Source organism: Homo sapiens, chromosome 3, assembly GCF_000001405.40.
Source record: "Homo sapiens chromosome 3, GRCh38.p14 Primary Assembly".
In the NCBI taxonomy this organism is placed as follows: Eukaryota; Metazoa; Chordata; class Mammalia; order Primates; family Hominidae; genus Homo; species Homo sapiens.
This window is the reverse complement of record NC_000003.12, coordinates 125,798,952-125,821,964: the sequence shown is the minus strand read 5'-3', so window position 1 is coordinate 125,821,964 and position 23,013 is coordinate 125,798,952. Positions and strand designations below refer to the sequence as shown.

Here is a 23,013-nt window from a genome sequence, read left to right as displayed (position 1 = left end):
CCATAAAGGAAGGACCATCTCTGTCTTTTTTTTTTTTTTTAAGAGTCTCACTCTGTCACCCAGGCTGGAGTGCAATGGTGTGATCTCGGCTCACTGCAGTCTCTCCCTCCTGGGCTCAAGGGATTCTCCAGCCTCAGCCTCCTGAGTAGCTGGGATCAAAGGCGTGCATCACCACACCCAGCTAATTTCATATTTTTGGTAGAGATGGGGTTTTGTCATGTTGGCCAGGCAGATCTTGAACTCCTGGCCTCAAGTGATCTGCCTACCTCAGCCTCCCAAAGTGCTGGGATTACAGGCGTGAGCCACTGCACCTGGCCTGTCTTTTTTATGCTATGTCCATGCGCGACGGCCCAGTGGTCAGCACACAAAGGGGTCCAAATGTGAAAGGAAAGGGCAAACACAGGGGAAACCTAGGGGTGTTCAGAAATAGTTCCCAGGTCACTGCCTGTTTCAATATGTACAGTCCTTGGCCCCACCCACAAGATTCCGACTTGGCAGGTCGGAGTTGGAGATGCGGAGCTACCTGGTTACGAGGGATCCCAGTGCATTTTGAGGCAGCTGGTTGTTAGACTGCATTATAAAAATTACCCCCAAAGATGTGAAGGGAAACAGAAAGGCAAAGCCAGGCTAGAAAACAATACAAGTAAAACATGAACAAGTTCATTCCAGAAGGAGATTCTCAACCACAGCTGCACGTCAGAATCAGCTCGGGAGATTTTAAAAACCCAGTGCCCAGGCTCTGCATCCCAGATCAATTATTACAGAATCTCCTGGGGATGAAACATGGGCATCAGCATTTTGTGTGTGTGTGTGTGTGTGTGTGTGTGTGTGTTTTTGAGATGGAATCTTGTCATGCAGGCTGGAATGCAGTGGTGCGATCTCAGCTCACTGCAAACTCTGCCTCCTGGGTTCAACGCATTTTCCTACCTCAGCCTTCCGAGTAGCTGGGATTATAGGCATGCACCTCCACGCCTGGCTAATTTTTGTATTTTTAATAGAGATAGGGTTTCACCATGTTGGCCAGGCAGGTCTCAAACTCCTAGCCTCACGTGATCCTCCCGCCTTGGCCTCCCAAGTGCTGGGATTACAGGCATGAGCCATTGCTCCTAGCAGTATTTTTTTAATGAGGCAAAATTCACATAACATACAAGTCCCTGTATGAAACCATACACTTCAGTATCATTAAATACATTCACAACGTTAAGCAATCATCATCTCTGTCTAGTTCCAAAACATTTTCATTAACACCCTCTGCCCCCCCAAAAAATAACCCTGTATCCATCAAGCACTCTCCATCCCCTCCCCTTTCCCCCAGCTCCTGGCAACCACTTACCTGCTTTCTGCCTCTATAGATTTGACTATTCTGGACCTTTCACATAAATGGAATCATGTAATATATATAATAAGCAAAAGGTAACAACAACCAAGCTGGCAATTTGGTTGATGAATGAATAAACAAAATGTGCTGTATCCATACAGTGGAAATATTGGTGCCTACTACATGTGGATGGACCTTGGAAACATCATGCTGAGTGAGAGAGAGCCTTGGTATTGTCTCATCTCCCCAGGAGATTCCAAGGTGCAGCCAAGGTTGAGACCCACTGACAAGCAATGGATATGGTTGGGTGCAGATGAAATAAGGCAGCCAGGGGCAGGAGGGATGTCTCATTGAAGATGACTGTTTGTGGATGCCTAGCAGGGGTGGGGATGAGGTATGATAACAGCAACCCCAATCTCAACACAGCGTGACCGATTTTATCTTCAGTCAGCTGATACACCTCATGGGGTGTGGACACAGGACACCTCTGCCTCCCAGGTTCAAGCGATAATTCCTGCCTCAGCCTCCTAAGTGGCTGGGATTACAGGCATGTACCACCACGCCTAGCTAATTTTTATATTTTTAGTAGAAACACGGTCTCGTCATGTTGCCCAGATTGGTCTCAAATTTCTGGCCTCAAATGATCCACCCACCTCAGCCTCCCAAAGTACTGGGATTACAGGCATGAGCCACAGTGTCCAGCCTCCAAATTCTATTTGAAGTTTGACTTTCCACCTCCAGAAAATCCAAACCTTTGCCCAAGTCACAGTGGGACACCCCGGAGTTAATTTGAGAGAAATGTGTTTTTAAAAACGACTCCAGGCCAGGCGCAGTGGCTCACACCTGTAATCCTAGCACTTTGGGAGGCCGAGGTGGACGGATCACGAGGTCAGGAGATCAAGACCAACCTGGCTAACACGGTGAAACTCCGTCTCCACTAAAAATACAAAAAATTAGCCGGGCATGGTATCACATGCCTGTAAGCCCAGCTACTCAGGAGGCTGAGGCAGGAGAATCGCTTGAACCAGGGAGTCAGAAGTTGCAGTGAGTCGAGATCGCGCCACTGCACTCCAGCCTAGTGACAGAGACAGATTCCGTCTCAAAATTAATAAACAAATAAAACCCTCCGATATGAACACCAAACTAGAATCACTCCATTGACTTCCCTCTGCCAAGCAGGGGGAGTGATGGTGATGTTGCATGAGTGTCTATTTGCATTGAGTCTTAATGGAAAATAAGGTTGTGTCACTCAAAGGAAAAACAAATCACAGCCCAGACTGGAGCTGTGGATGAATAACATGGCTGAGTGTTGGTACAGGCTTTCCACAGCAATATTAAAACTGAAAAAATCAGCAATGAAGCTCCCAGCCACATTTCTGCCTAATGATTTGGGGGAAAACAACAGAGGCACGCCTCAACTTTTCCTTCGCTGCACAAAGTGGGTTTGGCTGGAAATGCCAAATGTGTTTGTTGCTGGGATCTTTCAAATGAAAGCAAGCTGGGAGTCAACCTCCTGCAGCCGCAGGCCAGAAATGGGTTGAGACCAAACTATTATAGTCACACTGGTGCACATCTAAACAGATTTAACTCCCTCACAACAAGCTAGATTAATTTAATATGCTTTCTTAGTGGCATTCCGCATTTCTCATTAAAGCAAATGAACGTCCATCTCTCTGTGATAAATTAGGGCAAAAAAAATTCATATGTTTAGGGCATAGGGAAGGAGGAGTTGTTGGCTGGTAAAAAAAAAAAAAAAAAAAAGTACTGCAAATGGCCTTTCAAAGTCTAGACATCTTCATCATAAACACAAACATTCCTCTTCACAAAGGACCTCAAGTAACCTTAGGCTGGAGGGCCCACCTGCGTATGTTTTTCTTCTCATTCTTTCTTACCTTCCCTCCAGCCCACCCAGCCCACATTCAGTGACCAAGTCACGTGGGTTTTACCTCCTAAATCTTTCTCAGATCCGTTCACTGCTCAGCCACTCTCCTGACACCACCATAAACCAAGCCACCATCACCTCCAGCTGTCTGACTGCAAATGCCTCCTGACTGGCCTCTGTTTTCCCCTGGCCCTGTGACATTCTGCACTCCTCACAGGGACCAAAGCAATCACTTCAGAAGGTGCATCTAAACAGATCACTCACTTTCAATGGCTCCCACTGCTCTGTGGGTTAACAATGATAAAAGCTTGGCCAGGCGCAGTGGCACATGCCCGTAATCCCAGCACTTTGGGAGGCCGAGGCGGGTGGATCACGACGTTAGGAGATCCAGACCATTCTCGCTAACATGGTGAAGCCCGTCTCTACTAAAAATACCAAAAAATTAGCCGGGCGTGGTGGCGGGCGCCTGTAGTCCCAGCTACTCGGGATTCTGAGGCAGGAGAATGGCGTGAACCCGGGAGGCGGAGGTTGCAGTGAGCCGAGATCGCGCCACTGCACTCCAGCCTAGGCGACAGAGTGAGACTCCGTCTCAAAACAAAACAAAACAAAACAATGATAAAAGGTCACCTTTACTGAGCACACACTATCTCGGTCCATCCCTACATCAGCCCTTTATTTCACCAGTGGGGAAGCTGGGACACAGAGTAGTTACGTGGGATGCCCAAGGTGGGACCACTCCTATGAAGTTTCAACACCCTAATGTGAGATCCTCCATGACCTAGCCCCTCTCTTTCTCCAGCCTCATTTCCTGATTCTCTCGCTTGCCCTGCAGGCTTCAACCACACAAACTTCTTGAAAGTACCTTAAATCTGGCTGAGCGCAGTGGCTCATGCCTGTAATCCCAGCACTTTGGGAAGCTGAGGCGGGTGCATCACCTGAGATCAGGAGTTCAAGACCAGCCTGGTCAACATGGTGAAACCCCATCTCTACTAAATATCCAAAAATTAGCTAGGTGTGGTGGAGGGCGCCTGTAATCCCAGCTACTCGGGAGACTGAGACAGGAAAATCGCTTGAACTCAGGAGGCAGAAGTTGCAGTGAGCCAAGATCACACCACTCCACTCCAGCCTGGGCGTCAAGAGCGAAACTCCGTCTCAAAAAAAAAAAAAAAATTAAAAGTCCCTTAAATCTGCTCTATGCCTATCAACCTCAGGGACTTCACTATGCTGTTCCTCACCCTGAAATGCTGTTCCTCATTTTCTGCCTAGTGAACTCATCCCACCCCCTACGCCTCTCCTTAAGTGTCATCTCTTCAAGGAAGATTTTACTTTTTTAATATAACTATTAAAATATAATTCGGGTACTGTATGATTTGCCCATTTAAAGTGAACAAATCAATGGTTTCAGTGCATTCACAGAGCTCGGCAACCACCATTATGATCAATTTTAAAACATTTTCATCACCCCAAAAAGAAACCCTGTATCCATGAGCAGGTACCTGCCATTTCCTCCTCCCACTAAGCCCTGACAATCTACTTTTTTTGAGATAGAGTCTCTGTCACAGGCTGGAGTGCAGTGGCACAATCTCGGCTCACTGCAACCTCTGCCTCCTGGGTTCAAGCAATTCTCCTGCCTCCCAAGTAGCTGGGATTACAGGCTTGTGCCACCACACCCATCTAATTTTATATTTTTAGTAGAGACAGGGTTTCTGTCTTCATAGATTTGCGTGTGCTGGACATTTCATATAAATGAAATCTTATAATATGTGACATTTAGTGACTGGTTTCTTCCACTTAGCATAATATTCTCATGGTTCATCCTTGTTGTAGCACGTGTTAGTACTTCATTCCTTTTGATGACTGAATAATATTCCATTGCATAGTCAAACCATGTTCTACTTCTCCACTCATCAGTAGACAAGCATTTGTGTTGTTTTCACTTTGGCGTTATTGTGAATAATGCTGCTATGAGCATTTGTGTACAAGTTTCTGCATAGACATATATTTTCATTTCTTTCATAAACTGGAGTGGAAGTGCTGGGTCATAGAACTCTGTGTTTAAGCTTTTGAAGAAATGCCAGACTGTAAGAAAGAAAGCCTTTCCTGACCCTGCGAGACTGAGCTCCCTCTCTCCATTTATACGTTCTCTTTATGCCCTTTGCTTCTCTTTCAGAGCAATTCACGTTGATCTGGGTCACCCTCAACTTAAGGCTCATAACTCCCCTAGACCCTCAGGGCCCACACTAAATGTGATGAAATAGGATGCAAGCCACATATTTACTTTTGCATTTTGTAGTAACCATATTTTAAAAAGTAAAACAAAAGAAGTGAAGGTAATTGGAATAATATCACAGATTTAAATAAATCTATCCAAAATACCAGGTCTACATGTATAAACTATTTTAACATTAACACAATGTTTTCTTTTTATATTAAGGCCTCACAATCTAATGTGTATCTGACACTTCTCACACATCTCAGTATGATGGCAGCACCCCATATGGGAGGCCCTCCCATGATGCCAATGATGGGCCCTCCTCCTCCTGGAATGATGCCAGTGGGACCTGCTCCTGGAATGAGGCTGCCATGGGAGGCCACATGCCCATGATGCCTGGGTGCCCAATGATGAGACCTCTTGCCCATCTCATGATGGTGCCCAGTTAGCCCAGAATGACTTGACCAGACAGATAAGGATAGAGGGGAGGCCTCATTACATCAGTGTTGTTTTTTTGTTGTTGTTGTTGTGTGTTTTTTCTTTTGTTTTGTTTTTGAGACAGAGTCTTCCTCTGTCGCCCAGGCTGGAGAGCAGTGGCACGATCTCAGCTCACTGCAACCTCCACTTCCTGGATTCAAGTGATTCCCCTGCCTTAGCTTCCTGAGTAGATGGGACTACAGGCATGCGCACCATGCCTGGCTAATTTTTTTTATTTTAGTAGAGACAGGGTTTCACCATGTTGGCCAGGATGGTCTCAATCTCCTGACCTCATGACCTGCTTGCCTCAGCCTCCTAAAGTGCTGGGATTACAGGCGCGAGCAGCTGCGCCCGGCCTATATGACTTTATATTTACCTGCTCCCTTCACCAGGAGATCATGGGCTGTGATGCTGGGTTTTCTTAACAGCATAAGGAAGACTTGCCCCCTTGCCCTATCAAAGAGAATAGTTTTGGAGGGGAGAAGTGGGACCAAAAAAGATGCAGTTTTCATTTGTATTGGGAAATGTGAAAATAAAATTGTCAATTCTTTTAGTTAAAAACAAAAAAAAAAAGAAAAGGAAACAAGATGTGGGGCTGCCATATGCAATACCATGGATTCCAAGGATCTTCTACTCTGGAGGCAAAGATTATCTTTGCTGAAGCCAGACCAACCTGACCCAAAGACCTTTTGTTTTTTTAAAGTGACTGTGTTTTATTTTACAATGTGTAATTCACTTTAGAAGGGCAAAGTACCTGTCTGGGAAAGACTATTTAATTTCCTGCATTTATTTAGAATGTTGGCTGATATTATTATGAAGGGAAACAGCTCTAACAAGTGAGTGCCCCCCACATAGACACAGCTCATGAGTTCACGGGGCAAAGGAATTGAACAGCAGCTTCCTAATAGCCGGCCTTCTTTGTGGTATGGAAATAATTATCAGCATGTAAAAGACTATACATATATTCAACAATTCTGACCCCCTGCAAAATTCAAATCTACAACTGATTTGCTTCCTGGGCTCCTGAAAACAACTTTGTCAAAATTGTTCAGAAATAAAATCAGCCAATCGTTGCCCCTTGGGGACGCAGGACAAAGCAAGTCAGCCATGACCAATGTGGAGTCGGCCGTACACAATTACATGCAGACCTGCAGGACATCGAGTCCCTGCTATGGTCCCTCCCCAGTCAGGCCCCCATTGCCTGGGCTGCAGCCAGAAGGATTCAGGCACAAGTGCATTCAACAAATACTTATTTAATTGTATTGGTGGTTAGAGTGTTGCCGTTGATTAAGGTACATTAATGGATCCATGTCCTCCCTGTAACCAAGACTCTGCCATTTGTCTCTGCAGCTCCTCCCACTGAAGAATTGGAGTATATTTCTCCAGCCCCTAATGTTGCATTTAGTCACATGTCTAGCTTTGGCCACTGGAATATTAATCTACATGACCAAAAACTTGGAAAGTGTGCATTCATTTGTGCTCACTCACTCCTGCTATCACCAAAAGAACAAGCCCAGGCCAGACTGCTGCTTCCAGCAGAAGATAAGAGACACCAAGAGCAAAGTCAAGCTTCCCAGACACGCTCATGCCAGATTAACCAATCCTCAGCTGACCCATAGATCCATGAAAATAAACAATTGTTGTATTAAGCCACTGAGATTTGGAGTGACTTGTTATGCAGCATTTTGTGACAACAACTAACTGATACAAGGGTCACCATCCTTTATCTCTGTAGATTTTAACCAATTTTTAATAGCTAATTGGAGATCTTCTAGTTGCCTTTATTTATAATGAATACGACTGTAGAGCTAGTTTGGCCTGACACTACCAGTAACCTACCCAGAAATTCAGAAATACTTTCTTCTCCAACCTCCCCAACCAACCTTTTTGTTTGTTTGTTTGTTTCTGGGTTCTCCCCCTTTGCCTAGGCTAGAGTAGAAGTGGTACAGTCAGAGGCAAACAGTTTGCCACTGTAACCTCAAAATCCTGGGCTCAAGTGATCTTCCCCTTCAGCCTCCTGTCTAGCTAAGACTACAGACATGTGCCACCATGCCTGGCTAATTTTTTTATTATTTGCAGAGACAGGGTCTCACTATATTGCCCAAGTTGGTTTCAAACTCCTGGCCTCAAGCAGTCCTCCTGCCTCATCCTCCCAAAGTGCTAGGATTATAGGCATGAGCCACCACACCCAGCCTCTTCTTCTTTTTAAATAGAAACCCTATTTTATTCTGACAGTGGGTTGCTTTCTTTTTTTTTTTTTTTTTAAGAAAAAGTTGGCCCAGCCCCAGGGAATAAATCGTGACTGTTCTAAACAGGGTTGGCAAACTATAGACCAAGGGCCAAATCTGGCCCTCTGACTGTTTGTATAAATTAAGTTTTACTGGAATAAACCCAGGTCCATTCATTTATGCCTTGTCTACATATGCTTTTAGGCTATGATGGCACCACTGCGTCACTGCAACAGAGGTTATCTAGACCAAAAGCCTAAAATATTACCGTTTGCCTCTTTATGGAAAAAGTTTGCCATTCCCTAGTCTAAGGTTTAGATTCTGAGCTTATCATTTTAGCCTAATCCCCCTTACCAGTGACTGGCTCAAAACAAGTCTGTGATTCCATTCTGACAGTTCTACTGAGGGAATTCCCCCTTCTTCTCATGCAGAGCTGATGAGGGCAGTTTGTATTAATAGGACATATGCTCAGGTTTTCTGAAAAATACTTTTATCTAGAAATGCATAGGAATATGCTGAGGCCTGAGTGTACCATCTGGGGGCCTAGAGATTGACTCACCTGCCTCCAGAGCTAGCGCTCACACTTACTACTGAGAGGCCTGAGTAAACACCTGTCTACCCACCACCAGAACCTGCACACATCACCTGGAGAACTATAGATCAGACTGCCACACACGCCACCCAGGAGCCCAGTGGCGCACCTGCCCGCCTGGCCCAGTGCTGCCACTGCCAGCAACCAAAGAAGCCACCTGGGGGCCCAAGGATTGGCCCACGTAGACAGGCTATCATCAGTGCCCATATACACTGCCCATGGTCCCTAGTATTGACAAACCTGGTCCACCACCACTACCACTGATGCTGAAGGACAAGACTTCCTGGCATCCCCATCCTCAGCAAAGCCTCATCACAGCCTCAAATAACAACTGCAGTCTGGCCAGGTGTGGTGGCACACGCCTGTAATCCCAGCACTTTGAGAGGCCGAGGTGGGTAGATCGTGAGGTCAGGAGTTTGAGACCAGCCTGGCCAACATGGTGAAACCCCGTCTCTACTAAAAATACAAAAATTAGCTGGGCATGGTTGCACATGCCTGTAGTCCCAGCTACTCAGGAGGCTGAGGCAGGAGAATCACTTGAACCCAGGAGGCAGAGGTTGCAGTGAGCTGAGATTGTGTCACTGAACTCCAGCCTGGTGACAGAGCTAGACTCCATCTCAACAACCACACACAAAAAAAAAAAAAAAAAAACACAAAACTGCAGTCTAAGCCACTGAATGACTCACAGACACCACTCATGCCAATTACAGCTGAAGAAATCATATGCAGACTATGCCACTGTACCCACCCAGAATCAAAGCCAAAGTGTGATATCCAATGAATACTGTAGCTACAGCTATAAGAAAAGGTTTTCCCATATAAAAGCCAATCCATAAAATTGGAAGAAGTGACTGTTATGTCAAAGGCACAGATAGTCACATAAGGATGCAAGAAAGATGAAAAAGGAAACATAACATCTCCAAAGAAGCACAATAATTCTCCAGCAACAGATTCCAAAGAAAAGAAAATCTATGAAATGACTGAGAAAAATTCAAAATAATGTTATTAAAGAAAGTCAGGGAGATACAAGAGAACACAGATAATGAATATAAAAAGTCAGGAAAACAATTCATGATCTGAATGAGAAATTCAACAGAGATAGACAGCATAACAAAGAACCAAACACAAATCCTGGAAAAGAATAAATCATTGAAAGAAATACAAAAGATAATTGACAGCTTTAACAATAGACTAGATCAAGCAAAACAAAGAATTTCTGAACCTGAAGCCTAGTCTTTTAAAATAATCCAGTCAGACAAAAAGAAAGAAAAAAGAATGAAGGAAGGCTACATGATATATGGGACACATATGTGACCAAAAACTGAAATTCTGGGAGTTCTGGATGGAGACGAGATGGGTAAAGGCATAGAAAACCCATTTAATAAAATAATAACTGAAAACTTCCTGAAAGCTTCCAAATACAGGAAGCTCAAAGATTACCAAATAAATACAACTCAAAGAGATCTTCTCCAAGGCACATTATGGTAAAATTGTCAAAAGACAAAGAGAAAATGCTGAAAACAGCAAGAGAAAAGCATGAAGTCACTTAGAATCTCCATCAGGCTAACGGGATTTCTCAGCAGAAACCTTGCAGGCTAGGAGAAAAGGGGATGTATACTACAAGTAAAAAAAAGAAAAAAAAAATGTAAGCCAAAAATACTATACCCAGCAAAGATATCCTTCACAAATGAAGGAGCCTGGCACAGTGGCTCACATCTGCAATTCCAGAGACTCAGAAGGCTGAGGCAGGAGGATTATTTGAGCCCAGGAGTTCAAGGCTGCAGTGAGCTATGATCATGCGACTGTACTCCAGCCTGGGTGACAGAGTGAGACTCCATTGCTAAAAAAAGAAATACATAAATAAAAGAGAAAAAGAGTATTTCCCAGATAAGAAAAAGACTGTTTGTTTGGGTCTTGTTTGTTGTGGTCCTAGAAGAAATGCTTAAGGGAGTCCTACATTGGGAAGCAAGAGAACAATATCTACCATCAGGAAAATACATGAAAGTATAAAATTCACTGGCAGAGCAGACACACAAAGAAGAAAGGATTCAAACAACACCACTACAGAAAACCACCGAACTGCAACCATAAATAATGAGAGAAAAAAAGAACAAAGGTGTATTAGTCTGTTTTCACACTGCTGATAAAGACATACCTGACTGAGACTGGGCAATTTACAAAATAAAGAGGTTTAATGGACTTACACTTCCACATAGCTGAGGAAACCTCACAATCAAGTTGGAAGGCAAGAAGAAGCAAGTCATGTCTCACATGGATGGCAGCAGGCAAAGAGAGAGCTTCTGCAGGGAAACTACCCTCTTTAAAACCATCAGACCTTGTGAGATGTATTCACTATCATGAGAACAGCATGGGAAAGACCTGCCCCCATGACTCAATTGCTTCCCACCAGGTCCCTCCCACAACATGTGGGAATTCAAGATGAGATTTGGGTGGGGACACAACCAAACCATATCATTCTGTCCCTGACCCTTCCCTAATCTCATATCCTCACATTTCAAAACTAATCATGCCTTCCCAACAGTCCCCCAAACTCTTAACTAAGTTCAGCATTAACTCAAAAGTCCACAGTCCAAAGTCTCATGTGAGACAAGGCAAATCCCTTCTGCCTATGAGCATGTAAAATCAAAAACAAGTTAGTTACTTCCTGGATACAATGGGGGTATACGCATTGGGTAAACACAGTCATTCCAAATGGGAGAAAATTGCCAAAACAAAGCGGCTACAGGCCCCATGCAAGCCCAAAATCCAGTAGGGCAGTCAAATCTCAAAGCTCAAAAATGATCTTCTTTGACTCCATGTCTCACATGCAGGTCATGCTGATGTAAGAGGTGGGCTCCCATGGCCTTGGGAGAAAAAAGGCCACAGCCCCACTCCTGTGGCTTTGTAGGGTATAAACCCCCTCCTGCCTCCTTTCATGGGTTGGCATTGAGTGTCTGCAGCTTTTCCAGGCACACAGTGCAAGCTGTCAGTGAATCCACCATTCTGCGGTCTGGAGGATGGTGGCCCTCTTCTCACATCTCCACTAGGTGGCGCTGCAGTAGGGACTCTATGTGGGGGCTCCGACCCCACATTTCCCTTCTGCACTGCCCTAGTAGAGGTTCTCCATGAGTGCCCTGTCCCTGCAGCAAACTCCTGCCTGGACGTCTAGGCATTTCCATACATCTTCTGATATCTAGGCAGTGGTTCCCAAACCTCAATTTTTGACTTCTGTGCACCCACAGGCTCAACACTATGTGGAAGCCGCTAAGGCTTGGGGCTTGCACCCTCTGAAGCCACAGCCCATGTTGTACCTTGGCTCCTTTTAGCTGCAGCTGGAGTGGCTAGGACTCAGGAACCCTAGGCTGCTCACAGCAGGGGGGCCCTGGGTCCAGCCCACAAAACCATCTATTCTTCCTCTGGGCCTTTGATGGGAGGGGCTGCCATGAAGATCTATGACATGCCATGGAGACATTTTCCCCATTGTCTTGGGGATTCACATTTGACTCCTCCTTACGTAAACAAATTTCTGCAGCCAGATCGAATTTTTCTTGAGAAAATGGGATTTTCTTTTCAATTGCATTTTCAGGCTGCAAATTTTCCAAACTTTCATGCTCTGCTTCCCTTATAAAACTGAGGGCCTTTAACAGCACCCAAGTCATCTCTTGAATGCTTTGCTGCTTAGAAATTTCTTCTACCAGATACCCTAAATCATCTCTCTCAAGTTCAAAATTCCACAAATCTCTACAGCAGGGGCAAAAAGCCACCAGTCTCTTTGCTAAAACATAACAGGAGTCACCTTTGTGCCAGTTCCTGACAAGTTCCTCATTTCCATCTGAGACAACCTTGGCCTAGACTTTATTGTCCATATAACCATCAGCATTTTGGGCAAGTCTCTAGGAAATCTCTTCCAAATTTTCCCACATTTTCCTGTCTCCTTCTGAGCCCTCCAAACTGTTCCAACCTCTGCCTGTTTCCCAGTTCCAAAGTCACTTCCACATATTCAGGTATCTTTTAGCAACATCCCACTTCTGGTACTAATTTACTGTATTAGTCCATTTTCACACAGCTGATAAAGACACATTCAAGACTGGGAAATTTACAAAAGGAAGAGGTTTAATGGACTTACGGTTCTACATTGCTGGGGAGGCTTCAAAATCATTGCAGAAGTCAAGGAGAGGCAAGTCACATCTTACAGGGATGGCAGCAGGCAAAGAGAGAGCTTGAGCAGGGAAACTCCTCCTTTTAAAACCATCAGATCTCACGAGACTTATTCACTATCAAAAGAATAGCATGGGAAATACCTGCCTCCGTGATTCAACTACTTCCCACTGGGTCCCTCCCACAACACATGGGAATTCAAGATGAGATCTGAGTGGGGACACAGCCAAACCATATCAAAAGGATATACAAAATAACCAGAAAACAATGAACAAATTGACAGGAATAAGTCTTCACCTATCAATAATCACTTTGAATATGGGTTAAATTACCTACCTAAAAGATAGAGAGAGGCTTAATGGATAAAAAATGACCCAACAACGTCTACAAGAAACTCACTTCACTTGTAAAGACACACACAGACTGAAAGTGAAGGGATTGAAAAAGATATACCACACAAACAGAAATCAAAAGTAACCAGGAGTAGCTAAACTTACATCAGATAAAACAGACTTTAAGTTAAAAACTGTAAAAAGGACAAAGAAGGTCATTATATGGTAATAAAGGGATCAATTCTGCAACAAAGTATAACAATTCTAAATATGCATGCAACCAACACAAGCACATCCAGACACACATAGCAAATATTATTAAATCTACAGGGAAAGATAGAGTCCAATACAATGATAGTTGAGAACTTCAATATCCTACTCTCAGCATTGGACAGTTCATCTAGACATAAAATCAACAAAGAAACCTCAGATTTAAGCTGCACGTTAGACCAAATGGACCTAACAGATATTTTCAGAATATTTCATCCAGCGGCAGCAGAATATACAATCATCTCATCAACACATGGAACATTCTCCAGGAAAGACCATATGTTAGGACACAAAACAAGGCTCAACAAAATTTTAAAAATTAAAATCATATCAAGTATCTTCTCAGACCACAATGGAATAAAACTTGAAATCAATAAGAAGAAGAAATTTGGAAACTGTACAAATACATGGACATTAAACGTGCTATTGAATGATCATTGGATCGATGAAGAAATTAAGATGGATATCAAAAAATTTTTTTAAACAGAAAATGGAAACACATCATGCAAAATCTATGGGATACAGCAAAAGCAGTACTACAAGGAAAGTTTATAGCAATAAATGCCTACACCAAGAAAGTAGAAAGATTTCAAATAAACAACCTAATGATGAACCTCAAGGAACTCAAATAGCAAGAACAAACCAAACACAAAATTAGTAGAAAGAAAAAATAATAAATAACATAGCAGAACCAAATGCAACAGAGACAAAATAGAAATGCAAAGAATCAACAAGATAAAAGTTGGTTTTTTGAAAAGTTAAACAAAATTGAAAAACCACTAGTGAGGCTAACCAAAACAAACAAACAAACAAACAAACAAAAACAAAAAAGGAGACCTAAATAAATGCAATCAGAAATGAAAAATGAGACATTACAACTGTTACTAAAGAAATAAAAAGGATCATTAGAGGCTATTATGAACAACCATATGCTAACAAATTGGAAAACCTAGAGGAAAGGGATAAATTCCCAGACATACACAGCCTACCAAGATTGAACTAGGAAGAAACAGAAAACCTGAAATGACACAAAATGAATAGCAGGTTTGAATCAGTAACAAAAAGTCTCCCAAAAGAGAAAAGCCCTAGACTAGGCTTTTATGCTGATTTCTACCCAATTTATAAAGAAAAACAAACACCAATACTTCTCAAACTATTCCCAAAAATTGAAGAGGAGGGAATTCTTCCTAACTCATTGTATAAGGCCAGCATTACCTTGATATCCAATGAAGACAAGGACACAACAAAAAGAGAAAACTACAGGCCAATATTCCTAATGAACACAAATGGAAAAATTCTCAGCATAATACTACCAAGCCAAATCTAATGATGAATGAAAAAGATAATATACCATGATCAAGTGGGATTTATCCCAGGAATGCAAAGATGGCTCAACATACACAAATCAATACATGTGATACATCACATCAACAAGATGAAAGTCAAAAACTATCTGATCATCTCAGCAGATGCAGAAAGAAAAATCACTCGGTAAAACTTACCATGCCTTCATGATGAAAACTCTCAACAAATTATGCATAGAAGGAACACTTCAACATAAGAAAAGGCATATATGACAAATCTACAGCTAACTTCCTACTCACTGGGAAAAATTGAAAAGCCTTTCCTCTAATAACTGGAAGAAGACAAGGATGCCCACTTTCACCACTCTTATTCAACACAGTATGGGACATCCAAGCCAGAGTGATAAGATAAAGAAATAAAAGGCATCCAAAATGGACAAGAGGAAGTCAAATTGTCTCACTTTGCAGATGACATAATCTTATACTTGTAAACAGAAAAACCTAAAGACTCCACCAAAAAACTCTTAAAATGGGTAAATTAGGCTGGGCATGGTAGCTCATGCCTGTAATCCCAGCACTTTGGGAGGCCAAGGTGGGCGGATCACCTGAGGTTGGGAGTTTGAGGCCAGCCTGGTAAACATGGTGAAACCCTGTCTCTAATAAAAATACAATTAGCCAGACATGGTGGTAGGTGCTTGTAATCCCAGCTACTTGGGAGGCTGAAGCAGGAGAATGGCTTGAACCCGAGAGGTGGAGGTTGCAGTGAGCCAAGACTGCACTACTGCACTCCAGCCTGAGCAACAGAGTGAGACTCTATCTCAAAAAATAAAAAATAAAAAATTTTGTAAAGAACGGATGTATAATTCAGTAAAGCTTCAGGACACAAAATCAACATACAAAAATCAGTAATGTTTCTATATACCAGTAACAAACTAGCTAAAATAGAAATCAAGGAAGAAATTCTATTTACAATAGCTACAAAAATAAAATGCCTAGGAATAAACTTAACCAAGGATGGGGAAAAAAAAAACCAAAAAAACTCTACAATGAAAACCACAGAACACTGATAAAATAAATTGAGAAGGACAGGAACAAATGGAAAGGGATCTCATGCTCGTGGGTTGGAATAACTAATACTGTTAAAATGACCATGCTACCCGAAACAATCTAGAGATTCAGTATAATCCCTATCAATTATATTCTTCACAGAAACAGGAAAAAAAATAACCCTGAAATTCATATGGAACCACAGAAGACCCCAAGTAGCCAAAGCAATACTGAGCAAAAAGAACAAAGCTAGAAGCCTCACACTACCTGATTTAAAAATATACTGCAAAGCGGCCGGGCGCGGTGGCTCATGCCTGTAATCCCAGCATTTTGGGAGGCCGAGGCGGGTGGATCACAAGGTCAGGAGATCGAGACCATGCTGGCTAACATGGTGAAACCCCGTCTCTACTAAAAAAAAAAAAAAAAAAAAATTAGCCAGGTGTGGTGGTGGGTGCCTGTAGTCCCAGCTACTCGGGAGGCTGAGGCAGGAGAATGGCGTGAACCCGGGAGGCAGAGCTTGCAGTGAGCCAAGATCGCGCCACTGCACTCCAGCCTGGGCGACAGAGCAAGACTCTGTCTCAAAAAAAAAAAAAGTGTATATATACACACGTATATATATACGTGTATATATATACTTATATGTGTATATATACGTGTATATATATATGTGTGTGTATATATATATATACACACACTGCAAAGCTATAGTAACCAAAAAAGCGTGTATTGGTATTAAAACAGACACAAAAACAAAGGAAACAGACTAAAGAATCCAGAAATGAATCCACATATTTACAGCTAACTGATTTTCAAGAAGCTGTCAAGAACATACATTGAATAAAGGACAACCTCTTCATTAAATGGTGCCAGGGAAACTAGATATCCAAACACAGAAGAATAAAACTAGACCCTTATCTCTCATCACTTACAAAAATAAACTCAAAATCAATTAAAGACTTAAATGTAACAGCCACAACTATGAAACTACTAGAAGTAAACACAGGAGAAACGCTTGAGAACAAAGATTGTATGGCTAACACTTAAAAAGTACAAGCAACAAAAACAGACAAATGGGATTATATTAAACTAAATACCTTCTGCATATCAAAGAAAGCAATCAACAGAGTGAAAAGACAACACCCCTCCCTTACACCATACTCAAAAATTAACTCAAGATGGCTTAAAGACTTAAATGTAAAACCCATAACTATAATAACGCTGGAAGACAACTTAGGCAATACCATCCGGTACATAGTGATGGGCAAAGTGTTCATGGTGAAGATGCCAAACGCAATTGCCACAAAAGCAAAAATTGACAAATGGGATCTAATTAAATGAAAGAGCTCCTGCACAGCAAAAGAAACTATCAAAAAATAAACAGACATTTCTCAAAAGAAGATATACAAATCACCAAGTTTATGAGAAAATATTCAACATCACTAATCATCACGGAAATGCAAATCAAAACCACAATGAGATATCATCTCACACTTGTTAGAATGGCTATTATGAAAAAGACAAAGCACAACAAATGCTGGAAAGCATGTGAAGAAAAGAAAATTATTGTATGTTGTTGGTGGGAATGTAAATTAGTACAGCCATTATGAAAAAAAGTACAGAGATTTCTCAAAAAACTAAGAACAGATCTACCATATGATCCAGCAATCCCACTCCTGGGTATGTATCCAAAAAAAAGGATATCAGTGTATCAACGGGATATCTGTACCCCCATATTTACTGCAGCACTATTTACAATAGCCAAGATATGGAGTCAATCTAAGTGTCAATCAATCAATGGATGAATGGATAAAGAAAATGGGAACATATGCACAATAGAATAGTATTCAGCCATAAAGAAAATGAAATCCTGTCATTTTCAGCTAAATGGATGGAATTAAAGGTCATAAAGTTAGGTGAACTAGGCCATGCACAGAAAGAAAACTATTGCATGTTCTCACTTATATGAGCAGTTTATGCTCCTGGAAATCAAAGCGGGGGCCATGTTTCAGGTCAGTAGGGTCAGGGAGAGAGACCGCAGTTATGGACTTGTGTGCCCTGGAGCTATATAAAATTGATATCATGGAGATAAAGAGTAGAATGATAGTTAACAGAGGCTGGGAATAGGAAGTTGATTAATGGGTATAAAAAGAGGTTGATTCATGGGTATAAAAATATATAATAGAAGGAATAAGATCTAGGGTTCATTATCACAGAAAGTGACTACAACAATTTGTTGTATATTTCTTTTTTTTTAATTTCAATAGTTTTTAGGGAACAGGTGGTATTTGGTTACATGGAGAAGTTCCTTAGTGGTGATCTCTGAAATTTTGGCGTACCCATCACCAAAGCAGTTTACTCAGTGTATAGTCTTTCCTCTCTCACCCCCTCCCACCTTCCCCCTGAGCCCCCAACGTCCACTGTTTCATTCTTGTGCCTTTGCATCATCATAGCTTAGCTCCCACTTATGAGTGAGAACATGCAATGTTTGGTTTTCCATTCCTGAGTTACTTCATTTAGAATAATGGTCTCCAACTCCATCCAGGTTGCTATGAATGCCATTATTTCATTCCTTTTTAAGGCTAAGTAGTATTCTATGGTGTGTGTGTGTGTGTGTGTATATATATATATATATATATATATAACACATTTTCTTTATCCACTAATTGATTGATGGGCATTTGGGCTGGTTCTATAGTTTTGCAACTGTGAATTTTGCTACTGTAAACATGTGTGCAAAAGTATCTTTTTCATATAATGACTTCTTTTCCTCTGGGTAGATACCTAGAAGTGGGGTTGCTGGATCAAATGGTAGATGTACTTTTAGTTCTTTAAGGAATCTCCATACTGCTTTCCATAGTGGTGGTACTAGCTTACATTCCCACCAGCAGTGTAAAACCGTTCTCTTTCACCACGTCCATGCCAACATCCATTTTTGCTTTTTTTGTTTTTTGTTTGTTTGTTTGTTTTTGTTTTTTTTGAGATGGAGTCTCGCTCTGTCACCCAGGCTGGAGTACAGTGGTGCAATATCAGCTCACTGCAACCTCTGCCTCCCGGGTTCAAGCAATTCTCCTGCCTCAGCCTCCTGAGTAGCTGGGATTACAGGTAACCACCACCATGCCAGGCTAATTTTTGTATTTTCAGTAGAGACTGGGTTTCACCATGTTGGTCAGGCTGGTCTCAAACTCCTGACCTCCTGATCTGCCCACCTCGCCTCCCAAAGTGCTGGGATTACACGCGTGAGCCACAACGCCCGGCCCTATTTTTGTTTATTTTACACGTGGTATTGCATTGTGGTTTTGATTTGCATTTCCCTGGTAATTAGTGATGTTGAGCATTTTTTCATATGTTTGTCGGCCATTTGTATATCTTCTTTTGAGAATTGTCTATTCATGTCCTTGGCACACTTTTTGATGGGATTATTTTTTTCTTGCTGATTAGAGTTCCCTGTAGATTCTGGACATTAGTCCTTTGTCAGATGCAGTTTGTGAAAATTTTCTCCCATTCTGTGGGTGATCTGTTTACTCTGCTGATTATTTCCTATGCTGTGCAGGAGGCTTTTAGTTTAATTAAGTCCCATCTATTTATCTTTGTTTCTGTTGCATTTGCTTTTGGGTTCTTGGTCATGAACTGTTTGCCTAAGCCAATGTGTAGAAGCGTTTTCCAAAGTTATCTTCTGAATTTTTATGGTTTCAGACCTTAGATTTAAGTCTTTGACCCATCTTGTGTTGATTTTTGTATAAAGTGAGAGATGAGAATCCATTTTTATTCTTTTACATGTGGCTTGCCAATTATCCCAGCACTATTTGTTGTATAGGGTGTACTTTCCCTACTTTGTTTTTGTTTACTTTGTCGAAGATCAGTTGGCTGTTAAGTATTTGGCTTTATTTCTAGGTTCCCTACTCTGTCCCATTGGTCATGTGCCTATTTTTATACCAGCACCATGCTGTTTTGGTGACTATAGCCTTGTAATATACTTTGAAGTTGGGTAATGTGATGCCTCTAGATTGGTTCTTTTTGCTTAGTTTTCCTTTGGCTATGCAGACTTTTTTAGTTCTAAATGAATTTTGGCTTTTTTTTCTAGTTCTATAAAGAATGATGATGGTATATTGATAGGAATTGCATTGAATTTGTAGACTGCTTTTGGCAGTATGGTCATTTTCACAATATTGAGTCTACCCATCCATGAGCATGGAATGTGTTTCCATTTGTTTGTGTCATCTATTTCTTTCAACAGTGTTTTGTAGTTTTCCTTGTAGGGGTCTTTCACCTCCTTGGTTAGGTATATTCCTAAGTATTTTATTTTTACAGCTATTATAAAAGGGTTTGATTTGATTCTCAGCCTGGTAGATGTTGGTGTATAGCACTGCTACTTATTTGTGTACATAGATTTTGTATCCTGATAAATGGATTTATTGTATATTTCTAAATAGCAGTAAGATTTGAAATATTCCCAATACAAAGAAATGATCAATGTTTGAGGTGATTAATATCCTAAAGACCCTGATTTGATCATTACACATTGCGTGCATGTACCAGAATCTCACATGGACCCCATAAATGTGTACAATTATTCTCTATCTAAAACATTTTTTTAAGAAACATGCAGGAATACACTGTACCTCTTCCTTGCTGTCTCTGGATATTGTCACATGAGGACTTGACATGCGGATTGTGGCAGCCTCTGTGACCAAGAGCAGAAGACAATAGCAGCATGGAAACCTCAAATGAAAAACCTAACATCTCAAGCTACTAATTTAGCCAACCTTGGCATCAGCTATCTCTGGTCTTAGTACATGAGGTGATAAGCCCCCACTGTTCAAGTTGGGTGGACATCAATTGCTGCAGAATAGAAGTTAATGAGGTTTCCTCCTCCTGGATCCCCTACTAGACCCTGACATACCCATTCAGTCACAGGCAGAAAGGGAAGCAAAGGATAAGGAGACCTGGCTGGCTGTGCCAGACGCAGATTTTACCTGTCCTGCTTAAAACACTCAAAGCTCAATTGGTTAAACAAAAAAAGGAAAAAGACAGTAAGGAGTATAACACTACCCAGATGCAACTTAATCTAACACTCTATACTTTAAACTTTCTAAACATACATAGAAATCAGACCGCTACCTCTGCAGAACATTTTACTGGTAAAAAGAACAGCCCACATGAGGGAAAACTGATTTGGTGGAAAGACAACAAAAACAAAACATGGGAAATAGGGAAGGTGATAACATGGGGAAGAGGTTTTGCTTGTGTTTCACCAGGAGAAAATCAGCTTCCTGTTTGGATACCCACTAGACATTTGAAGTTCTACAATGAACCCATCAGAGATGCAAATGAAAATGCCTCCGCAGAGACAGAAAACCCGCAATCGAGCATCGTCGACTCGCAGGGTGAACAAAATGGTGATATCAGAAGAACCAATGAAGTTACCATCCACCAAGAAAACGGCACATGTGGAGAGCCAGGGAGAAGAATAGAAAGAAAAAGAGACAGAGATCAGAGACAGACACAGAAAGTGAGACTGGGGAGAGAGATAGTATAAAAGAGAGAGACTGTAAGAGAAAGGAGACAAAGAGATAAAAGGTGCGAGTGAACAGGTGAGGAGAAAGACCGAAAACTATGAGAAACAGCAACTAAGACACAAAGGAGGTGGGAGACTGCCTGGGTACTGCAGCACCCACACCGTCCTCTTGCCCCCTGTCACTTGGGTTAAAACCACTGGAAATTGCACTGTTGCAAATTTTGTATTAATCCTTGTATGTCTGTCCTTTCTATTGGTAGTTTACAGGTGTATCCAGCAGCTCCAGAGAGACAGCGACCAGCGAGAAGGGGCCATAATGATGGTGGCGGTTTTGTCAAAAAGAAAAGGGGGATATGCAGGGAAAAGAAAGAGAGATCAGACTGTTACTGTGTCTACATAGAAAGGGAAGACATAAGAGACTCCATTTTGAAAAAGACCTGTACTTTAAACAATTGCTTTGCTGAGATGTTCTTAATCTGCGGCTTTGCCCCAGCCAGTTTGACCAAACCACTTTGACCCAACCTGGAGCTAACAAAAACATGTGTTGTATGAAATCAAGGTTTAAGGGATGTAGGGCTGTGCAGGACGTGCCTTGTTAACAAAATGTTTACAAGCAGTAGACTTGGTAATACTCATCGCCAATCTCTAGTCTCAATAAACCAGGGGCACAATGCACTGCAGACAGTTGCAAGGACTTCTGCCCTTGAATGCTGGGTATTGTCCAGGGTTTCTCCCCATGTGATAGTCTGAAATATGGCCTCATGGGATGAGAAAGACCTGACGGTCCCCCAGCCCGACACCCGTAAGTCTGTGCTGAGGTGGATTAGTCAAAGAGGAAAGCCTCTTGCAGTTGAGACAGAGGAAGGCCACTGTCTCCTGCCTGTCCCTGGGAACTGAATGTCTTGGTATAAAACCCGATTGTACATTTGTTCAATTCTGAGATGGGAGAAGAACCGCCCTAAGGTGGGAGGCAAGACATGTTTACAGCAATGCTGCCTTGTTATTCTTTACTCCGCTGAGATGTTTGGGTGGAGAGAAACATAAATCTGGCTTACGTGCACGTCCAGTGATAGTAACTTCCCTTGAACTTCATTATGACATAGATTCTATTGCTCACATGTTTATTGCTGACCTTCTCCTTATTATCACCCTGCCCTCCTACTACATTCCTTTTTGCTGAAGTAATGAAGATAATAATCAATAAAAACTGAGGGAACTCAGAGACCGGTGCCAGTGCAGGTCCTTGGTATGCTATGCGCCGGTCCCCTGGGCCCACTGTTGTTTCTCTATACTTTGTCTCTGTGTCTTATTTCTTTTCTATCTCTCATCCCACCTGGTTAGAAATACCCACAGGTGTGGAGCGGCAGGCCACCCATTCATTATGAGATTACAGGCATGAATAACCCCACCTGGCCACCTAACTCACTCTTGAGAGGCCAGAAGTGATGCTGGAACTCTCTTCCTCTGTGGGTTAAAAAGGGAAAATTAGGGAGAACACAAGGCATGAGAGATGCAGCGATGGATATGTCTATATGGAGCTTCTGTCTGCATCCAGTAGAAAATGCATATGTAGGCACCAGGTTTAAGAGCGAAAACCTGGAGTCTTGTCTGTTAGCATTCTCCTTCCCCACAAACCTGAGAGGGAATACATTTGCTCCAGCACACCCGCATGTAGGAA

General features: G+C 42.1%; 1 protein-coding gene and 1 pseudogene across 1 annotated transcript in view; one reads left to right on the top strand and one right to left on the bottom strand.

Moving 5' to 3' along the window:
• LOC112267908 (translation initiation factor IF-2-like) overlaps positions 1-23,013 on the bottom strand; it is a 92,138-nt gene that overhangs the window by 26,365 nt on the left and 42,760 nt on the right. The gene's annotated exons all lie outside the window — the stretch shown is intronic.
• On the top strand, positions 5,678-6,449 carry SNRPCP11 (small nuclear ribonucleoprotein polypeptide C pseudogene 11; annotated as a pseudogene).